The sequence below is a fragment of the Homo sapiens genome, chromosome 20, assembly GCF_000001405.40.
Source record: "Homo sapiens chromosome 20, GRCh38.p14 Primary Assembly".
Taxonomy (NCBI): domain Eukaryota; kingdom Metazoa; phylum Chordata; class Mammalia; order Primates; family Hominidae; genus Homo; species Homo sapiens.
The window spans coordinates 3,246,582-3,263,650 of NC_000020.11; the positions used below are offsets into that span (position 1 = coordinate 3,246,582).

General features: G+C 50.4%; 1 protein-coding gene across 4 annotated transcripts in view, besides 3 other annotated features; it reads right to left on the reverse strand.

The window, feature by feature from the left end:
* Positions 1,552-2,297: an enhancer, noted in NCBI's record as "H3K4me1 hESC enhancer chr20:3228779-3229524 (GRCh37/hg19 assembly coordinates)". NCBI's record gives its function as "activates a minimal SCP1, AML or CMV promoter by ChIP-STARR-seq in naive H9 embryonic stem cells {active_cell/tissue: H9 hESC(naive)}" and the evidence as "EXISTENCE:reporter gene assay evidence [ECO:0000049][PMID:30033119]".
* Positions 2,298-3,042: an enhancer, noted in NCBI's record as "H3K4me1 hESC enhancer chr20:3229525-3230269 (GRCh37/hg19 assembly coordinates)". NCBI's record gives its function as "activates a minimal SCP1, AML or CMV promoter by ChIP-STARR-seq in naive H9 embryonic stem cells {active_cell/tissue: H9 hESC(naive)}" and the evidence as "EXISTENCE:reporter gene assay evidence [ECO:0000049][PMID:30033119]".
* The window catches only part of DNAAF9 (dynein axonemal assembly factor 9), a 158,364-nt gene continuing 144,019 nt past the window's right edge, over positions 2,725-17,069 (reverse strand). For all 4 annotated transcript variants that reach the window (XM_005260684.5, NM_001009984.3, XM_011529208.4 and 1 more), the window contains 6 exons: positions 13,341-13,447; positions 12,899-12,973; positions 9,425-9,630; positions 8,638-8,703; positions 7,145-7,238; positions 2,725-6,103 (listed from right to left, as the gene is read on the reverse strand). In XM_005260684.5, the coding sequence (XP_005260741.1) occupies positions 5,991-6,103; positions 7,145-7,238; positions 8,638-8,703; positions 9,425-9,630; positions 12,899-12,973; positions 13,341-13,447 (661 nt within the window). In that variant the 3' untranslated portion in view covers positions 2,725-5,990. The remainder of the gene's footprint in view (positions 6,104-7,144; positions 7,239-8,637; positions 8,704-9,424; positions 9,631-12,898; positions 12,974-13,340; positions 13,448-17,069) is intronic.
* Positions 3,702-4,202: an enhancer, noted in NCBI's record as "H3K4me1 hESC enhancer chr20:3230929-3231429 (GRCh37/hg19 assembly coordinates)". NCBI's record gives its function as "activates a minimal SCP1, AML or CMV promoter by ChIP-STARR-seq in naive H9 embryonic stem cells {active_cell/tissue: H9 hESC(naive)}" and the evidence as "EXISTENCE:reporter gene assay evidence [ECO:0000049][PMID:30033119]".

The following is a 17,069-nucleotide window of genomic DNA, read 5'->3' on the forward strand; positions in this document are numbered from 1 at the left end:
ACCGTGCCTGGCTCTACATGACCTGTCTTTTTCTCTTTTTTCTTTTTTTTGACCTTTCTTTTGTTTAAGAAAAATAGATTCTCAGACAGGATCCCATGATCACTGGTATCCCTGGGTTGTGCTGAGGCACTATAAAACCAAACAATGGGCTGGGTGCAGTGGCTTACTCCTGTAACATAGCACTTTGGGAGGCCAAGGCAGGAGGATGACTTGAGCCCAAGAGTTTGAAACCTGCCTGGGCAACATAGATAACATCTCTACAAAAAATGCAAAATTTGGCCCAGCATAGTGGTGTGCACCTGGAGTCCCAGCTATTCGGGAGGCTGAGTGGGGAGGATGACCTGAACCCAGGGAGGTTGAGGCTGCAGTGAGCTGTGATCTATAGCCTAGGCTACAGAGTGAGACTCTGTTTAAAAAAAAAAATGTAGGTTAGCTGGGTGAGGTGGCACATGCATGTAGTCCTAGCTACTCAAGAAGCTGAGATGGGAGATTACCTGAGCCCCAGGAGGTTGAGGCTGCAGTGAGCTATAATTGCACCACTGCACTCCAGCCTGGACAACAGAGTGAGACTCTGTCTTAAAAAAAAAAAAAAAAAAAAAAAAAAAAAAGCCAGGTGTGGTGGCTTATGCCTGTAATCCCAGCAGTTTGGGAGGCTAAGGCTGGTGGATCACTTGAAGTCAGGAGTTCAAGACCAGCCTTCTCAACATAGTGAAACCCCTCCTCTAGTAAAAATACAAAAAAAAAAAAAAAAAGTTGGGTGTGGTGGCATGTGCCTATAATCCCAGCTACCCGGGAGGCTGAGGCAGCAGAATCTCTTGAACCCAGGGGGTGGAGGTTGCAGTGAGCCGAGATCTCGCTGCTGCACTCCAGCCTGGGCGACAGAGCGAGACTGTATCCAAAAAAAAAAATAATAATAATAAAAATCAAGTAGGTGTCTGACTTATCAGAAAAGCTCAGAAACTGCAGGGAGATGCGTAATGCTGGTTTAGGGGAGCAAGCCGTTCTGTGGGGGGCCCACCTCTCAGATGGGCCTGGTATGGAGACCCAAGGCCAGGCTAATCAGAAAACTCCATTCCTCCTGACCATGGTAATTATTCAGGGATGAGAATGTGATCCTTGCCTATGGGACCCTGGTGCTGCTGGTGGTGTAAGGGAAGCTTGCTGCAGGGGAAGAATGAAGCCACCGAAGATAGAGGGTTCTGATGACATACTAGTGCCTGCGCCTGGCTGACCTGTAGCTGGTACTAGTCTGGACTCCTGCAGAAACCAAGCTGATCTCTTTCTGTCATGGGCTGGAAGTGGGTCACATGGTCATGTCTTCTTTGGGTATAACTTTTCCCTAGAGTGTAGGATAGAGATTAACACTGGTGTTTCTCTGTGTTCCTTGGCGGGCTCTCTGATTTTCAGCAGCTCCACATGAGATCTGCTCTAAATCACTTTTCACAATCGACTCTGCCAGGATTCCCTGACTCTGGGGCTCCCACTCTGGTAAGCAGCACTAGGGTTTCAGTAGTCCCCTGTCCCTACTGAGAGCTCCAGGTGGAAGATGGGATCCTTTCCCCATCCTCAGGTTTCCTGGCCTCTAAGTCCCTCTGAGAGCCCTTCACCATTTACTGTCTCCCCATCGTTCTGGCAATTCCTAGGGGTTAATCCCCAAACCCTAGAGGTTTTGCCGTAATGCAACCGCAGGCGCTCCATCAAAGTTCAAACCCCGGCCTGCAGGATGGGGATGCCGGAGGCTCTGGGGAAGAGGTTGTGAAAGGGTAACACTGCCGCCAGCCCCCTCCCCCAAGTCTACCAGGCCCTTCCCGTGCAGATTTGCATTTGGTTTGCACAGGACTAATTTATCTCAAGGAACTTCCAAACCTAAGACCACCATCCCAATCACCTGAAGCTATCTGCGGAGGCTACACCCTTTCCCCCGGGCCAGCTTCCACATCTGCCCAGTGGGGCATTTCCCCTTGTCCCACCCAGCGACTGGTTGACAGGAAGCAGGGTGTCTATGGACTGGCGGCGGGCGCCCCTTTTCCTCACCTCCCTGCGCGGCCAGCGGGGGCCCGGGGTGTGGTCAGGTGGGAGGCCCGCGCCACGTGCGGCAGGAACCGCCTGGCGAGTGGAACCCGAGCTTGCACGGGGACAGCTGATGCCTTTCTGGTCGCTCCTCTAGAGCTCCGCGGGCTCCGGCAAACCCCCCCGTTAGAACTTGCGGTTCCAACGCGCAGCGCCAAATCTGGCCCTTACTTGACCCGTCAGCGCCTCCAGTCGTCCCCATGTATAAAGTAGGACCGAGGAGCCACCTCGCCAAGCTTTCACTGCGCGGAAACGCGCCCATCAGGCTGGAAAGGCGTGGTTCCTACTACAGCTCGGCCGCGGCAGGCTGGGGCCGAGAACCGGCACCCGTGCACGGCGGACTAAGACGAGGGTGAGGGACACGGGTGGGCCGGGAGAGCCCCGTTCCCATAGCCGGCTTCCTTGAGCCCCTCCCCAAGTTCTGGGACTCCCCAAGTTCCCACCCCGCAAGCCAGTGTGGTTTCTTCAGATGAATTTTATTCTTACTCTCCACGGGCTGCTCCGGCGTCTAGGGAGGGAGTGTGAGCTCCGAGGACTTCCCGCAGCATCCCCACCAGAGGCGTCCAGGGGAGGCTGAGGGCCGGCCCCCGTCACCCCCGCCCCAGGAGCACACGGGACTGAGTGTATGGCACAGGCATCGTCTGGAGGCCTTGCTTGTTCAGTGATAGTTTATTGGTCCTTAGCATGACATCTCGATTACCAAGGTAAATTCACATACACAACTGCAGGTAAAAACATGTAAAATAATATAAAAATAAATTGAAGGCTACTTTTATATATTTACTGAATTAAGTAGTGTAATAAATACTATGATAAGCAAAAAGCTTCAATCGCACAATTCAGTTTCACTGAAGTTACAGTAGTGTTTGTAAATACGAGTTTTAAAATTTAAGTTACAAATATTAAAGCACTGAAAAACTAGTATAAAAGTGAATTTTGGCACGTAAGTGAGCTCTTATGTCATTAGTATTTGACATCCTGGGACAATGAGGAAGCCAGTTCTCACCTACTTTTTTGAGGTACAACTATCCAACTAGATCAGCAACACGGCTGGAATACTTCGTAGTTTACAATCTTTGAATTGAACTTTTCCCTTTTGAGAAGCCCAAGGAGCAACCCAGAGCTTCTTACTGTGCAAAAATTCTCCAAAATCCTAATAGAATTTAGGAGGGAACTTTTTCTTGCGACCTGAAGGGCCCAGTGTCCAGGCTTCAGGTCAGATAGCCCCCAGGGCTCAGAGGGGCCGGCTCAACTCCTTGCCAACGGCCCTTCCCTAGGATAATAATCCCATTTCCTCCAATTTCTGTCTCCTTCTTCCAATCAAAAACAGAAAAATCCCATGTAAAAACATAAAATAACCCGTAACTTCAGCGACTTCAACATTATCCCACGCACTCTGGGTGATATAAACTGAAGCTGCTAATAGGAAAGTTAGCAAAAAGCATGTAAGCCCCGGGAGGACTGCCTGTCCCTGGGAACCCACCCCCGCTCTTTGCTGGGTCCCTGGATCCACTTCTAAGGTCAAAAGCAGTGTCATGGCCATTCCTTTGGAAACAGCAGAAGACCCTGCTCCTCCCACCTGGAGCGCCGCCTGGAGGAATCAAGTGGATACTGACCTTCACAGAACAGAGAGGCCTGGCAGGTTCCAGGAGGCATCCCCTGGCCTCAGTCCTCAAAGAGCTCACAGTGCACCGCGGGTGTGCCTTATCAGTGGGGCAGAGCAAGTGGCCCCAGGAATGCCCTTTCGCCAGCTGCCCCTTCACGTTCCCGAGTAGGCTGAGGAGCATCAACAGAGGCCTCAGCCAGTTTTGCCTTTTTGGCTTTGATGCTTCTTCACGTTTTGACTTTTTTCAATCACAGTTTCATATTCAAGTTGAGGTAATCACAGTTTTTTCTCTAAGAGGAGAGGAGTTGGGACAGTGGGGCAAGTTGGTGAGAGAGCATTTCTGTGAAGAGAAACAAAGACCACCACGTAGTACAGCCCCACATGGTGAGAAGACCCGCTCTCACGGGCGGGCTCCGACCCCTCTTTAAAAACTCTTCTGCAGCAGCCAGACTGCCAGGCCAGTGCAGTCAGGAAATGGCTCAAGCTCCTAAAGCTAGAGCTTTCATTTAAAACTTCACAGCAGCCCACTTAGAGAAATGGCCTGTGGTTCCCACCCCCCAACCCCTTTTCTAAGGCTGCTCAAGTTTGAGTTTTTAAAAAGAGTTCGGTAGAGCTAAAGGAAGCTACAGTAACTCACTGCTTATTAATCAATTGCACTTAAGATCTATGTTACTGATTCTGAAGCGAGGCAAGCCCTTGACGGACCGCAGCCTCTGGCCAGCCAGAAGTCAGGGGGCTCCCAGACTTAGGTTCCACAGTGGGGCCCTTGTCATCAGTGGCTTTTGGAGCTGGGACTGGAGCACGTGGGTCTTTTCAGAAGCCCTTCTTGATGCAAAATTTCTTATCAATGGTATCTGGAGTTTTGTTCATTTGGCTTCAAATTGTTTTTTTTTTTTTTCTAATATATTTTACTGACAAGCCCTTGAGAGCTGCTTTGCTACTTGCATGCAGGCCTCTGTGTGACCAGGCACACAGACTACATGTGCTCCATCTTGTCTCTCCGCTGCTCCAGGGGCCTTGCTCAAAAACCCCCTATATTACTGGAAACTGCTGGTTTTACCTATGTGCTTCTTCCTAAGGCATGCAAAAAAAAATATGTGAAATTCAGAAAACATTTACAGTTCAGGCAGCTGAGGCACTGAAGTCCTAAGAGACATCACCTAAATATCAGTGGCTGTGACTCCCCTGTCCCCCACACCAATTATGAAGGTCAGGCATGGGACACACTTGTAATTCCCCTCTGCTTTATGGTCCAGCTTAAAACGATGCCATTAGAAGGAATTCTAACTCAGGTATTGCAATTATTTGAAATTCCCAATCCTCAGGAGCCACACAAGCCCAGGGCCAGCAACAACACTTTGGGGAGCGGGGGGATGAGTTTCCTGAAGTTTGTGGCTGAAAAGCAGGCCTTCCTTGGCAAGGCTTGTGGGAGCGCTGGGTGCTGGAGACTGACCCCACAAGTGATCAGCCACCAGGCCTAAGACTAACCAGCTGCAGGACGCCCCCTTCCACAGTGAGGTGAAGCCTCGCCAGGGGGCCTGAGCAGCAGGCTTGCTCTTGTCCCTACATTAGGACACCCGAATGGTGTGACAGGAGAGCTAAAGAACCACCCACAAGGGGAAAAGCTGATGTCAACTTAAGAGCCACACACCTCTGGAAAGCAACAAGCCTCTCCTTCAGTTTAGTCCAGAAGGGAAATCCCCTCATTTGTGAACACATCATTCATCTCAACCCAAGCTGCTGGCTCTGTGGACTGGGCCTGGGCAAGGCTGTGCTGCTCCTCCCAGGACTGGGCCCACGGCCAGTACGGCCAGCTCCTTCAGGGAAACGGGCCTAGCAGGGGAGGCAGGCACTCCACTGGGGAAGATGGCTCTCGTGGAGCAGCATCTGAGGCTTGAGGCCTGTCGTGGCCTCGCCTCCCAGACACGGCCACAGTTCAGGCAGCCAGGGTTCCTTCTAAGTCCCAGTAGCTCCTCTGTGTAATCCTAATGCTTCTCCCCAACCTCAAGAGCCCAAAGGAGATCCTGTTATCAGAAACCCAGAGCTCCTGGACTGCCAGTTGCACACGTAGACGGGCAGGCCCCATCTGCTCATCCTTGAGTATTCCCCCGACCCCCAAAATCAATGGTGCAGGTGATGCTCTTCAGCGCTATACAGGGAATAAAGACAACATGCACTCAAGCCAGCCCACACAGGCCAAGGAGAACAAAGACAGCCCCTTAAGGGAGAGGCCTCCAGCAGAGCTGAGGTTAAGACACCCGTTCGTCCATCTCCAAGGTGGACATTCTGCAGGACGTACGGGCCCAGCCTTCCTCTAGGGCTTCAGCTCAAAGAGGTCATGATACTCCTGCTGTTCCAGCTCCTGGTTATACTTCTCAATTTCCCGGTTGGCTTCTTCCACGTAGTCATTCATGAACTGGTCCATGACTGGTATCTCATTAAGGAAGAGAGCTCTGAGCCTGGAGGACAAGGGAGGCTGCCTGAGCCCAGAGCGGCCTGTAGGCAGGTGAGGGGGGTTTGCTGAGGAAGTGAGTGTCTGGCCCATAGAGAGGGAACCTGATGGACTCTTTGTATATACTGGCAGCACCACAGCTACAAAGAATGCAATGGCTGTTGTCACAGGGATGTTAATGAGGTCCTAGAACTGAGCCCTTCAGCTTCAGCCCTATCCATCTTTTCACAGGTTAACTGTTGTAATTAGGCTGTCTTCGACTTGTAAATCGTGACTCTGATGACGACAGACTTCAGGATATCACCGCAGCTGCATCCAAACTATAACTCACAGGCTGGGCGCAGTGGCTCATGCCTGCCATACTAGCAATTTGGGAGGCTGAGGTAGATGGATCACTTGAGCCCAGGAGTTTGAGACCAGCCTGGGCAACATGGCGAGACCTAGTCTCTAAGCTGGGCGCGGTGGCTCATGTCTGTAATCCCAGCACTTCAGGAGGCTGAGGTGGGAGGATCACCTGAGGTCAGGCGTTTGAGACCAGCCTGACCAACATGGAGAAACTCCGTTTCTACTAAAAATACAAAATTAGCCGGGCACGGCGGCAGGCGCCTGTAATCCCAGCTACTCGGGAGGCTGAGGCAGGAGAATCACTTGAACCTGGGAGACGGAGGTTGCAGTGAGCTGAGATTGCGCCATTGCACTCCAGCCTGGGCAGCAAGAGTGAAACTCCATCTCCAAAAAAAAATTAAAACAAGACAAAACCAAAAAACTATAACCCAGAGTCACATTAGCAATCACTCAATAAAGGAGCAATTTAACTTTAACAGCTTTAGAGACTGAAATGAAAAGTTCGCCCCTGAGGTTTGCCCCTGTGCATTCCTGACCCATCAGTGGACATGCAGAGTGCTCCTGGGGCTCAAATGCATGGCTCTGGCAGACAACCGCTTTGCAGACAGGGTCACACACTCCCAGCCTCACTGCCCGGGTTCCACACAGGGACCACGCTGTTCCAAGGATACGTGGGTGAAAATCAGTTTTGTCACCAAAGAAGTTAACAAATTGGGTGCCATTATAAAAGTAGCCTGCAGGTAGGGGTTCCAAGTGGCGTTTTACCTGTAGGAGAAAAGAGACCTGTAATAATTATCTGACTACTTTCTATACTTCACTCACTCATTAAAACAAACAAGTCTATTTCCCTAGCAAGATAGACTACTCTGCTATACAGAGGAGCTAGGAAGCTAACACCCCCGGCAAACCTCAAGCCCTGCCTGAGGTGGTTCCCCACCTCTCAGGTGAGGAGCTCTGGGAGGTCCTAGTGGGATGAAGTTCCCACGGTGTGCAGTGGTACTGATGTGCAAACACACTCTTTTATTTATTTATTTATTTTTTTGAGATAGAGTCTTGCTTTGTCACCCAGGTTGGAGTGCAGTGGCGTGATCTTGGCTCACTGCAACCTCCATCTCCTGGGTTCATGCAATTCTCCTGCCTCAGCCTCCCGAGTAGCTGGGATTACAGGCATGCGCCACCACGCCTGGCTAATTTTTGTATTTTTAGTACAGACAGGGTTTCACCATATTGATCAGGCTGGTCTTGAACTCCTGACCTCAAGTGATCCACCCACCTCAGCCTCCCAAAGTGCTGGGATTACAGGCGTGAGCCACCATGCCCGGCCACAAACACACTCTTTATTGGCTGTTTCCCCCTCTCCTCTTTCATCCTCCTGTTTCCTATTTAGTGTCTCCTAGAATCACTTCCAAAATAAACTACCTGTACTTAACTCCTTGTTCACGGTTGGCTTTCAGGGGAACATGCATTATAAGGACTACCTTATGCCCATGTTGTCCTCCCCAGGAGCACCCAGGTTGTCCGGGCCTATAGGAGCTGTTTATGAAAGGGGCCTCCTCAAATCCAAAGCAGGGGCTCCTGGAGTCCCAGAATACTTTCCTGCCCCACCTGCTCATTACTGGCATCCTGGGGACCTAGACTCTGTGTCCTTTTTAGCTTTTTGTCCCCAAACCCCTCAGGAAAAGGCCCCAGTGAGCATGGCGACTGAAGCAGAGGCTGGGGGTCAGAGCCTGGAGGCTGGGAGGCTCATCAAGGGGGTCTCTCAATCAGCCTCTTATCCTGGCCTCAGGTTCCACAGCCTTCCTATGAGCAGCCTCTGGATCCAGACAGTTTTTGCCTGGGCTCTAGCTGGTTCATCTGTAACATAGGTCTTCTGCAGTTGCTTGAACAAGGTGCCAAGGCAGGGCTTCTGGTCATCAGCTTCTCCCACAAGTACTGGCTCTACTCAATCTGATGCCCAGGTCACACCAGAGGTCTCCTGTGCCCTCCTCACTGAGGCTGCAAAGGCCAGAATTCTGTACGCAGCTTCCCTCTGTGGCCTGGGAGAAGCAAGACCTCCAGCATGTCCTACAAACAGCTCCTCACTCAGAGAATCCAAAATACAGAGCTAGGCAAGCCGAGGACAGCCCTGGGCCACCGAGGGGAGAAGCCAGGGCAAGGCACTCACGTGGATGCTCCTGATCTCCTGTTGCGTCAGCATCCCCCTGGTCTTCAGGGCTTTCCTCTGAGGCTTCTGCAGAGATGGGGAGTGGAGGGTCAGGTCCCAGCAGAACTCATGGAGTGCATGGGCAGGGGAGGGCTCTGGGCTCTATTACACAACTAAGATCTCAGCAGTGGGGAAAGCACGTGCGCTATGGCCTGGATATAATATTCTGTCTAGTCTGCTCTTTGAGAAAACCACTTTCCCATCACAGAGCCCTGTGAGCCAGCAGGGAACAAGCAGCAGAGGACAGCCCAGTGTTTTCGTAAATGGGAATGGTCGTGCCTCTTTGTAGATTCTTATCCCTCAACCCTACCAATGAGAGGCAGACAAAGGGGCAGTCTGAGGCCCCACAGTCAAGAACCGTTTAGAAGCTTATCCAAGTGAGGCAGCCCATCCCTCAGCATAAAGACAGGTCCCTAGTGAGCATCTGCAGAAGAGCCAGGCCCCAGCTAACTCTAGTCCCAGAGTTCTAGGATGAACTAAACCCCCAAGGCTGTGCTACAAGGCTTAGCACCCAAACCTTGCAGAGAACCTGGCTCACAAAGCAAACAACATAGCAGGCCTGCCTGGAGTTTGCTCTCAGTGGCTTCCTCCCTCTCTCAAAGTGTCCCTGCAAGTGCTGGCTGGGCCAGGGAGAGGAAGCCCAGTGGGGAGGCATCAGGGAGGCAGTGGCGGGGCTTCTCAGGGCCAACAGCAGCTCTGAGGTGTCTGGTCACATCTGTGTCAGGTCTGTCTGGGCTCTGGAAACCACCTGCTTAGCTGACTGCCGCAGCCAGTCCTTGATGCTGTCTTCCTTCAGGGAGCAGCCGATGAACACAAGGTAGCACTCCTGCTGCCCGCTGCTGTCTTGAGATACGCTTTTGGAGTCTGGTGGTGGTGTGGGTCCTTCCAAAACTGGCATGATGCTCAAGGAGTTGGCCAGTGTGTTGTAGCAGACCTCCATGGTCCTCTCAGAGTCTGTAAGGAGAATACACATTAGTCCCTGAGAGCCTGCCTTGAAAGGATACAGCTATGCTAAGACTGTGACAATGCAGATGGTTGGGATAGATTCATGAGAAAATGCAAGAGACAGAACTGATGTGACTGGTGGCAGCTTAGAAAGGATGGAGTAGGTGGGCACAGTGGCTCATGCTTGTGGTCCCAGCTACTCAGGAGGCTGAGGCAGGAGGAGCACTTGAGCCCAGGAATTCAAGGCTGCAGTGAGCTGAGATTGCGCCACTGTACTCCAGCCTGGGTGACAGAGGGAGATCCCATTTTGTTTTGTTTTTTAAAAAGGAAAAGAAAGGATGGAGTAAGAGAGAGAGACAGAGAGGAACAAAATAAGTTTCTGGCTTGGCTGATCTGGGTGATCAGGTGGACACTATTATCCCAGAAGGGAAACACAAGAGAAAAAAAAGGTTTATAGGTGGGAGAAGAGGAAGAGTTTGACTCTGCACTTGTGGCATTTGAAAGTCTCTAAGACCCTGAGCGTGAGACATCCACATAGTCCCTGGTGGTTGCTGGAATAGCTGTTATGGAAGAGGTGGTTGAGGAAAAGCAAAGAAACCCCCTTGGTAGAAGTGGGGGGCTCTCAGCAGAGGCCTCAGAGGCCAAGGGAGGAGGGCACAGCCAACAGTACAACAAAAAAATTAGCTGGGTGTGATGGTATGTTCCTGTAGTCCCAGTTACTTGGGAGGCTGGGGTGGGCAGTGACCTAGGATTGCACTACTGCACTCCAGCCTGGGCAACAGAGCAAGACCCTGTCTCAAAAACAAAACAAAACAGACAAAAAAACCAGTACAGCAGTGTTGCACGAAGGTCACACAGATGAGAATGGGAAAAAGTGTTACATGCTAAGGAGATGAGGGCTAGGAGTGACTGGAGACCCAAGAAGTGGGCAAGGGCTCCCTGAAAGGCAGGATGAGAAAGGATCCGGAAAAAAGCGAGGTTAAATTTGAACAAAAAAAGAGTCAATAGCAGATCTAAATAAACAAGAGGCTGGGTGTGGTGGCTAATACCTTAATTCCAGCACTTTGGGAGGCCGAGGCAGGAGGATCACTTGAGCCCGGGAATTCGAGACCAGCCTGGGCAACATAGGGAGACCTTGTCTCCACAAAAAAGAAAAAAAATCAGCCAGGCATGGTGGTTCACGCCTATAGTCCCAGCTACTTGGGAGGCTGAGGTAGGATGATCGCTTGAGCCTGGGAGGTCAAGGATGCAGTGAGCCGAGATCAAACCACTATACTCTGGATTAGGTGACAAAGTGAGACATTGTCTCAAAAAATAAAAAGAAGAAAGAAATAAAAATATTTATTTATTTATTTTATTGAGACGGAGTTTCACTCTGTCGCCCAGGCTGGAGTGCAGTGGCACAATCTCGGCTCACTGCAACGGCCGCCTCCTGGGTTCAAGTGATTCTCCTACCTCAGCCTCCCAAGTAGCTGGGATTAAAGGCATGTGCCACCATGCCCGGCTAATTTTTTTTTTTGAGACAGAGTTTTGCTCTTGTTGCCCAAGCTGGAGTGCAGTGGTACAATCTTGGCTCACTACAACCTCCATCTCCCAGGTTCAAGTGATTCTCCTGTCTCACCCTCCCAAGTAGCTGGGATTACAGCTAGGTGGTGTCCTACAGTAGGTGGGTGTCCGCCACCACACCCAGCTAATTTTGTATTTTTAGTAGAGACAGGGTTTCACCATGTTGGTCAGACTGGTCTCAAACTGCTGGCCTCAAATGATCTGCCTGCCTTGGCCTCCCAAAGTGCTGGGATTACAGGTGTGAGCCACCGAGCCTGGCCTAATTTTTTTTATTTTTTGTAGAGATGGGGTTTCACCATATTGGCCAGGCTGGTCTCGAACTCCTGACCTCAAGTGATCCTCTTGCCTCGGCCTCCCAAAGTGCTGGGATTACAGGCGTGAGCCACTGCACCCAGCCAAAAAAGAAATAAAAAAAAAGAAGAAAAGGAGGTGATGGGTGAGAGGGAAAAACAAAAGTACCAAGACCTCTGAAGCAGCAGGGGCTGGCTGTTGGAGCCTGAGATTAGTGGGCTTGGGTGTGGGGCCGAAGTTTCTGATTTGATCACATAAATCAAGCAAAAGCTATGAGCTAAGGACCCATGTAATTCTCCCATCTGAACCATGATGGTTCTATGCTTGGAGCCCTCAGTGGTCCCCTACAGCAGAAACTGATAGCTGCCGACCCCCCATATTGTCTCCCTCTTCTTCCAATACCAATACCCCATGGGTGATGGGTCCAGAAAGGCACAGCAATCCAATGAGATAAGTCGGCAGAGAAATTGGGGGAGGCGCTGCACTGACAAAGGCACCCACAGGAAGAGCCAGCCTCTCCTCATTGGCTGGATGCAGTGTCTGGCTTTGACACCCAGACCTGTAGCACCACTTGGCAACCATAAGGGGCAGGAACCTGAAAGACAAGCTGACACACCAAGAAGGGGAGGACACGAAGACATACATCACCTGGCTCCTCAGTGGCCTTGCTCTGCTGCTTGAGCGCCTCACTTGTTATACAGCCAACACCTGCTAGCTGAGTGGGGGTTCTCTGTGATAACAGCTGAAGACACCCTAACAGACGCACTCCCTCTCTCCCTACTCCCAGGCTCCAGTTACGGTAAATGCTTTTTGGTTCCTGAAATGTGTCTTTTCTGCCTCTGGATTATAGCAAATGCTATTTCCTTCCCCTGGAATACTGTACCTTTCCTCAACATTGAGTTGACTGACTCCTACTGGTTTTGAGGCCTTCTCTGATGCCCACTCCAGGACAGCAAGGGCTCCAGAGGTCTAAACTGATCCTCAGGCCTACTAGTCAGAAGAGAGGAGAAGGCAAACAGAAGCTCAAAGACTTTGGTCAGAAATGGATCTAGAGCTGAAGAGCTCAGCACTGGGGCAGCTCCTGGTTTTAGGTCTAGAGGAGGCCATGACTGGCTCAAGAGGTGTGGAGTGTAAGGCTCTGAACAAGAAGGTCAAAAAGCTGTGAGAAGAGCCCCTGAGCAGGTCATCCAGGCGAGGAGGGCAAACCTCTGCCATGGAACAGGAGGACCCAGACTAAGTAGGCCCTTGGCGGAGAGGGGTGATGGACAAGCCTGATGGCGTGAAGGCCCAGGGTGGGGAAGGTTTCTGAGAGTCTGAGCAGCATCAGTGGTCTGCAGAGCACCAGCAGAGGCTCTGAACTCACATCATGAGATGCAAGCACTCCATGGTGTAGAGCTCCCAAATCCCAGCCCCTGGTTACCTGAAAACTTCACTTTGCCCAGGATGTGGTAGATGTTTCCGGAGAAGGGACTTGGCTTGATGGAGGACTGAATTGCTGGTGGAAGAAGAGGACAGCGCTGTCACCCACATGGAGGCACAGGCCAAATTCAGGACAGCACAGCTGGGAGTTTTAGGGACTGGGGAGGGACCATACACCAGGGTCTAGGGTTCACAGGTTCTACCCGCCACACCCTGTTGCTCCCCTGTGGCTCTGCCACTGTTCCCAGGGGAGGGAAAACCCTTTCACTGGAGTGGAGACCAAATTGTGTGACCACCCACAATCCTCAAATCCCTCTGTCTACTTTTGGTTTCAAAAGGTAAGAAGACATACAGCACATAGAATACTGAAATGGTACCAGGAGGCAGAATTAACTCTGGGACACCCTTTTTCCAGTGTCTAGGACATCTCAGTCAAGGCTTACCTTTACATTTGGCCACAAAGCGAGTCTTCTCCAAGGGACGGCCAAACCATACGCAGATCTGAACCATTAGGGGATAGACTGATCCAGCATTCAATTTACCTTCATACCTTAAAAGGTTTAAAAAATTTTAAGTACAGGCCGGGCGCGGTGGCTCACGCCTGTAATCCCAGCACTCTGGGAGGCCGAGGCGGGTGGATCATGAGGTCAGGAGATCGAGACCATCCTGGCTAACAAGGTGAAACCCCGTCTCTACTAAAAATACAAAAAATTAGCCGGGCGCGGTGGCGGGCGCCTGTAGTCCCAGCTACTCGGGAGGCTGAGGCAGGAGAATGGCGTGAACCCGGGAAGCGGAGCTTGCAGTGAGGCGAGATTGCGCCACTGCAGTCCGCAGTCCGGCCTGGGCGACAGAGCAAGACTCCGTCTCAAAAAAAAAAATTTTAAGTACAAATATTTGAATTCTCCCTTACATCTATGCCATTTTGCACACAAAAACTTGTTTAAATATGTATATGCCTCTTTCATTTTGAGACTGGGAAGCATGACTGCCCAGTTAAATCAGGAGCTGAGGATGAAGGTTTTACCTAACCTTAGACTAGCAGTTCCTTGATGTCAAAGACCCTGTGTACCTCTGAAGCCTCCCAGTCCCCATCTGAGTTTGGGGGTCCTTCCTGGTACGGTGGGGGGCTCTTGCTCAGGATGCCCTCCCATTTCTCTCTCTTTTTTTTTGAGACAAGGTCTCCCTCTGTTTCCCAGGCTGGAGTGCAGTGGTGCGATCTTGGCTCCCTGCTATCTCCGCCTCCTGGGTTCAAGCAATTCTCCTGCCTCAGCCTCCTGAGTAGCTGGGATCACAGGCGTGTGCGCCACCACACCCAGCTAATTTTTGTATTGTTTGTAGAGACGAGGTTTTGCCATGTTGGCCAGGCTGGTCTCAAACTCCTGGCCTCAAGTGATCTGCCCACCTCAACTTCCCAAAGTGCTAGGATTACAGGTGTAAGCCACCATAGCCGGTCTTGCTCCCATTTCTTTAAGGGCTCCAACTATGCCCCGCCATTTTGTTGCAGGCAGCATAACAGGTTGTACATATAGATGTGTACACCTGTCACAGAAGGAACTGGGGCATCTCTGCTCTATTTTCTTTGAGACAGGGTCTTGCTCTGTTGCTCAGGCTGGAGTGCAGTGGTGTGATCATAGCTCATTACAGCCTTGACATCTCAGGCTCAAGTGATCCTCCCACCTCAGCTTCTTGAGTAGTTGCTACGACACATGCCACCATGCCCAACTACTTTTGATTTTTTATTAGAGACAAGGTCTCACTATGCTGCCCAGGCTGGTCTTGAACTCCTGGCCTCAAGTGATCCTCCCTCCACAGCCTCCCAAGGTGCTGGGATTATAGCCATGAGTCACTGTGCCTAGCCTGTTTCCTTTATTTTAATTAATTAATTAATTAATTTTATTTTATTTTTTTGAGATGGTGTCTTGCTCTGTCACCCAGGCTGGAGCGCAGTGGCACGATCTCGGCTCACTGCAACCTCCACCTCCCAGGTTCAAGCAATTCTCCCCCTCAGCCTCCCGAGTAGCTGGGATTACAGGTGCCCACCACCACGCCCAGCTAATTTTTGTATTTTTAATAGAGATGGGGTTTCACCATGTTGGCCAGGCTGGTCTTGAACTCCTGACCTCGTGATCCACCCACCTTGGCCTCCCAAAGTGCTGGGATTACAGGTGTGAGCCACCGCACCTGCCCCTGTTTCCTTTATTTTAAAACAGCACTGCAATTTTAATTTTAAATTGTTGAAAGTATCTTATTCTTCTTAATTTCTTTAAAGAAGGTAGTAGGCATAAGATTTTTGCAAGACTGACCTGTCTTCTCCCCATCCAAACAAGTCATTTTGGAGACTGGGGGTTTCTCTGGCCTCTGGCTTCTGTGGTACCTGAATCCTTAGGGGAATTTGCAGGGGCTAAGGGAAGGCAGCAAGGTTTCTGCCCAAACTAGAAACAAGCTGTTCTACCAGAAAATGTGGAAGGAGGGTGGATGCGAACAGAGAAGGATGTGGGAGGGAAGTGGCAGAGAATGTGTGCACAGCACAGAGCGGAGCATATCCTGGAACTAAAGCCCATTCACTCTGAGGTGGTGGCTCTGACCCACGTGAGAGGGGAGTAATATATAGAGATGAGTAGGAGACTGATGACTGCCATCTTGTTAAAGATGAAATTATCTGATTCCTAGAAATGGACTTAGGAGGGGGCCTGAAAGAGAATTTTGGGGTCCCTCCATCTCTGATTCTCTATAAGGACTGATCTTCCTGATGAGGAAAAAGTTCACATTCTTTTTTTTTTTTTTTTTTTGACACGGAGTTTTGCTCTTGTTGCCCAGGCTGGAGTGCAGTGGTGCGATCTTGGCTTGCTGCAAGCTTCGCCTCCCGGGTTCACGCCATTCTCCTGCCTCAGCCTCCCAAGTAGCTGGGACTACAGGTGCCTGCCACCATGCCCGGCTAACTTTTGTATTTTTAATAGAGACGGGGTTTCACCATGTTGGCCAGGCTGATCTCGAACTCCTGACCTCATGGTCCACCTGCCTTGGCCTCCCAAAGTGCTGGGATTACAGGTGTGAGCCACCACATCCGGCCAGATTCACAGTCTTCTAATGGGCCCCTCTTACCCTACTCTCTCCTGGATTAGTCTGCCTCCAGGTGTCTGGGCCCTGAGCTAGCTTCTTGTGTATGAGTCAGTAAGGACTGGAGAACAGCACTTCTCTAGGCACCTGGTGGTGATTACAGGAGCCTCATGACCCAGAGGTTCAGGCAGCAAGAGAGTCAGTGGCTGTAGCCACTGGAAAGAAGGTTCCCCCAGAAGCTCCATTTGTTTATTTTTAGCTAAGATATCATTATCTTGTTCAGACATAAGAAATGACCCACTTACTCACTGTTTAAGTATGACATGATTCAAATCAGAGATTCCTTCTAAGAATATGCCTGAAAACATTTAATTTTACATACTGACCCTCTGGGATTTTTTTGGTTTTGTTTTTTACAGCATAGCAGATCTTTTTTTTTTTTTTTTTTTTTTTTTTTGAGACGGAGTCTCGCTCTGTCGCCCAAGCTGGAGTGCAGTGGCGTGATCTCAGCTCACTGCAAGCTCCACCTCCCAGCTTCACACCATTCTCCTGCCTCAGCCTCCCAAGTAGCTGGGACTACAGGCATCCACCACCACACCTGGCTAATTTTTTGTATTTTCAGTAGAGATGGGGTTTCACCACGTTAGCCAGGATGGTCTCGATCTTCTGACCTTGTGATCTGCCCGCCTCGGCATCCCAAAGTGCTGGGATTACAGGCGTGAGCCACCAAGCCTGGCCAGATCATTTTTTGTTACGAAAAAAGTTGGTGGTGTAAGGGGTGGTATGGAGGATGTAGAGAGGTGCTTGGGAAAAGTGAGTAAGAATAACAAAGATAATCCAAATAAACATGAGAGATTAATTCTGGCCAAGCTTTAACAATGTCTTCCCCTAAACCTTCAACAGAGCAGAAACAAATTGTCCATGCTATACAGGAATAAGTGTAGCACGATGCCTAAGAGAAAAAGCTCTGAGCCATTCAACCTGGGTTTGAAATCCAGTTCTTTCATCTACTAAGCTATAAATTGTCAAGTCATTAACTCTTTGCTGCCCCTGGTACCTTATCTGTAAAATGATAAAATAACGGAATCCACTTCACAGGATTGGTGTAAATGAGA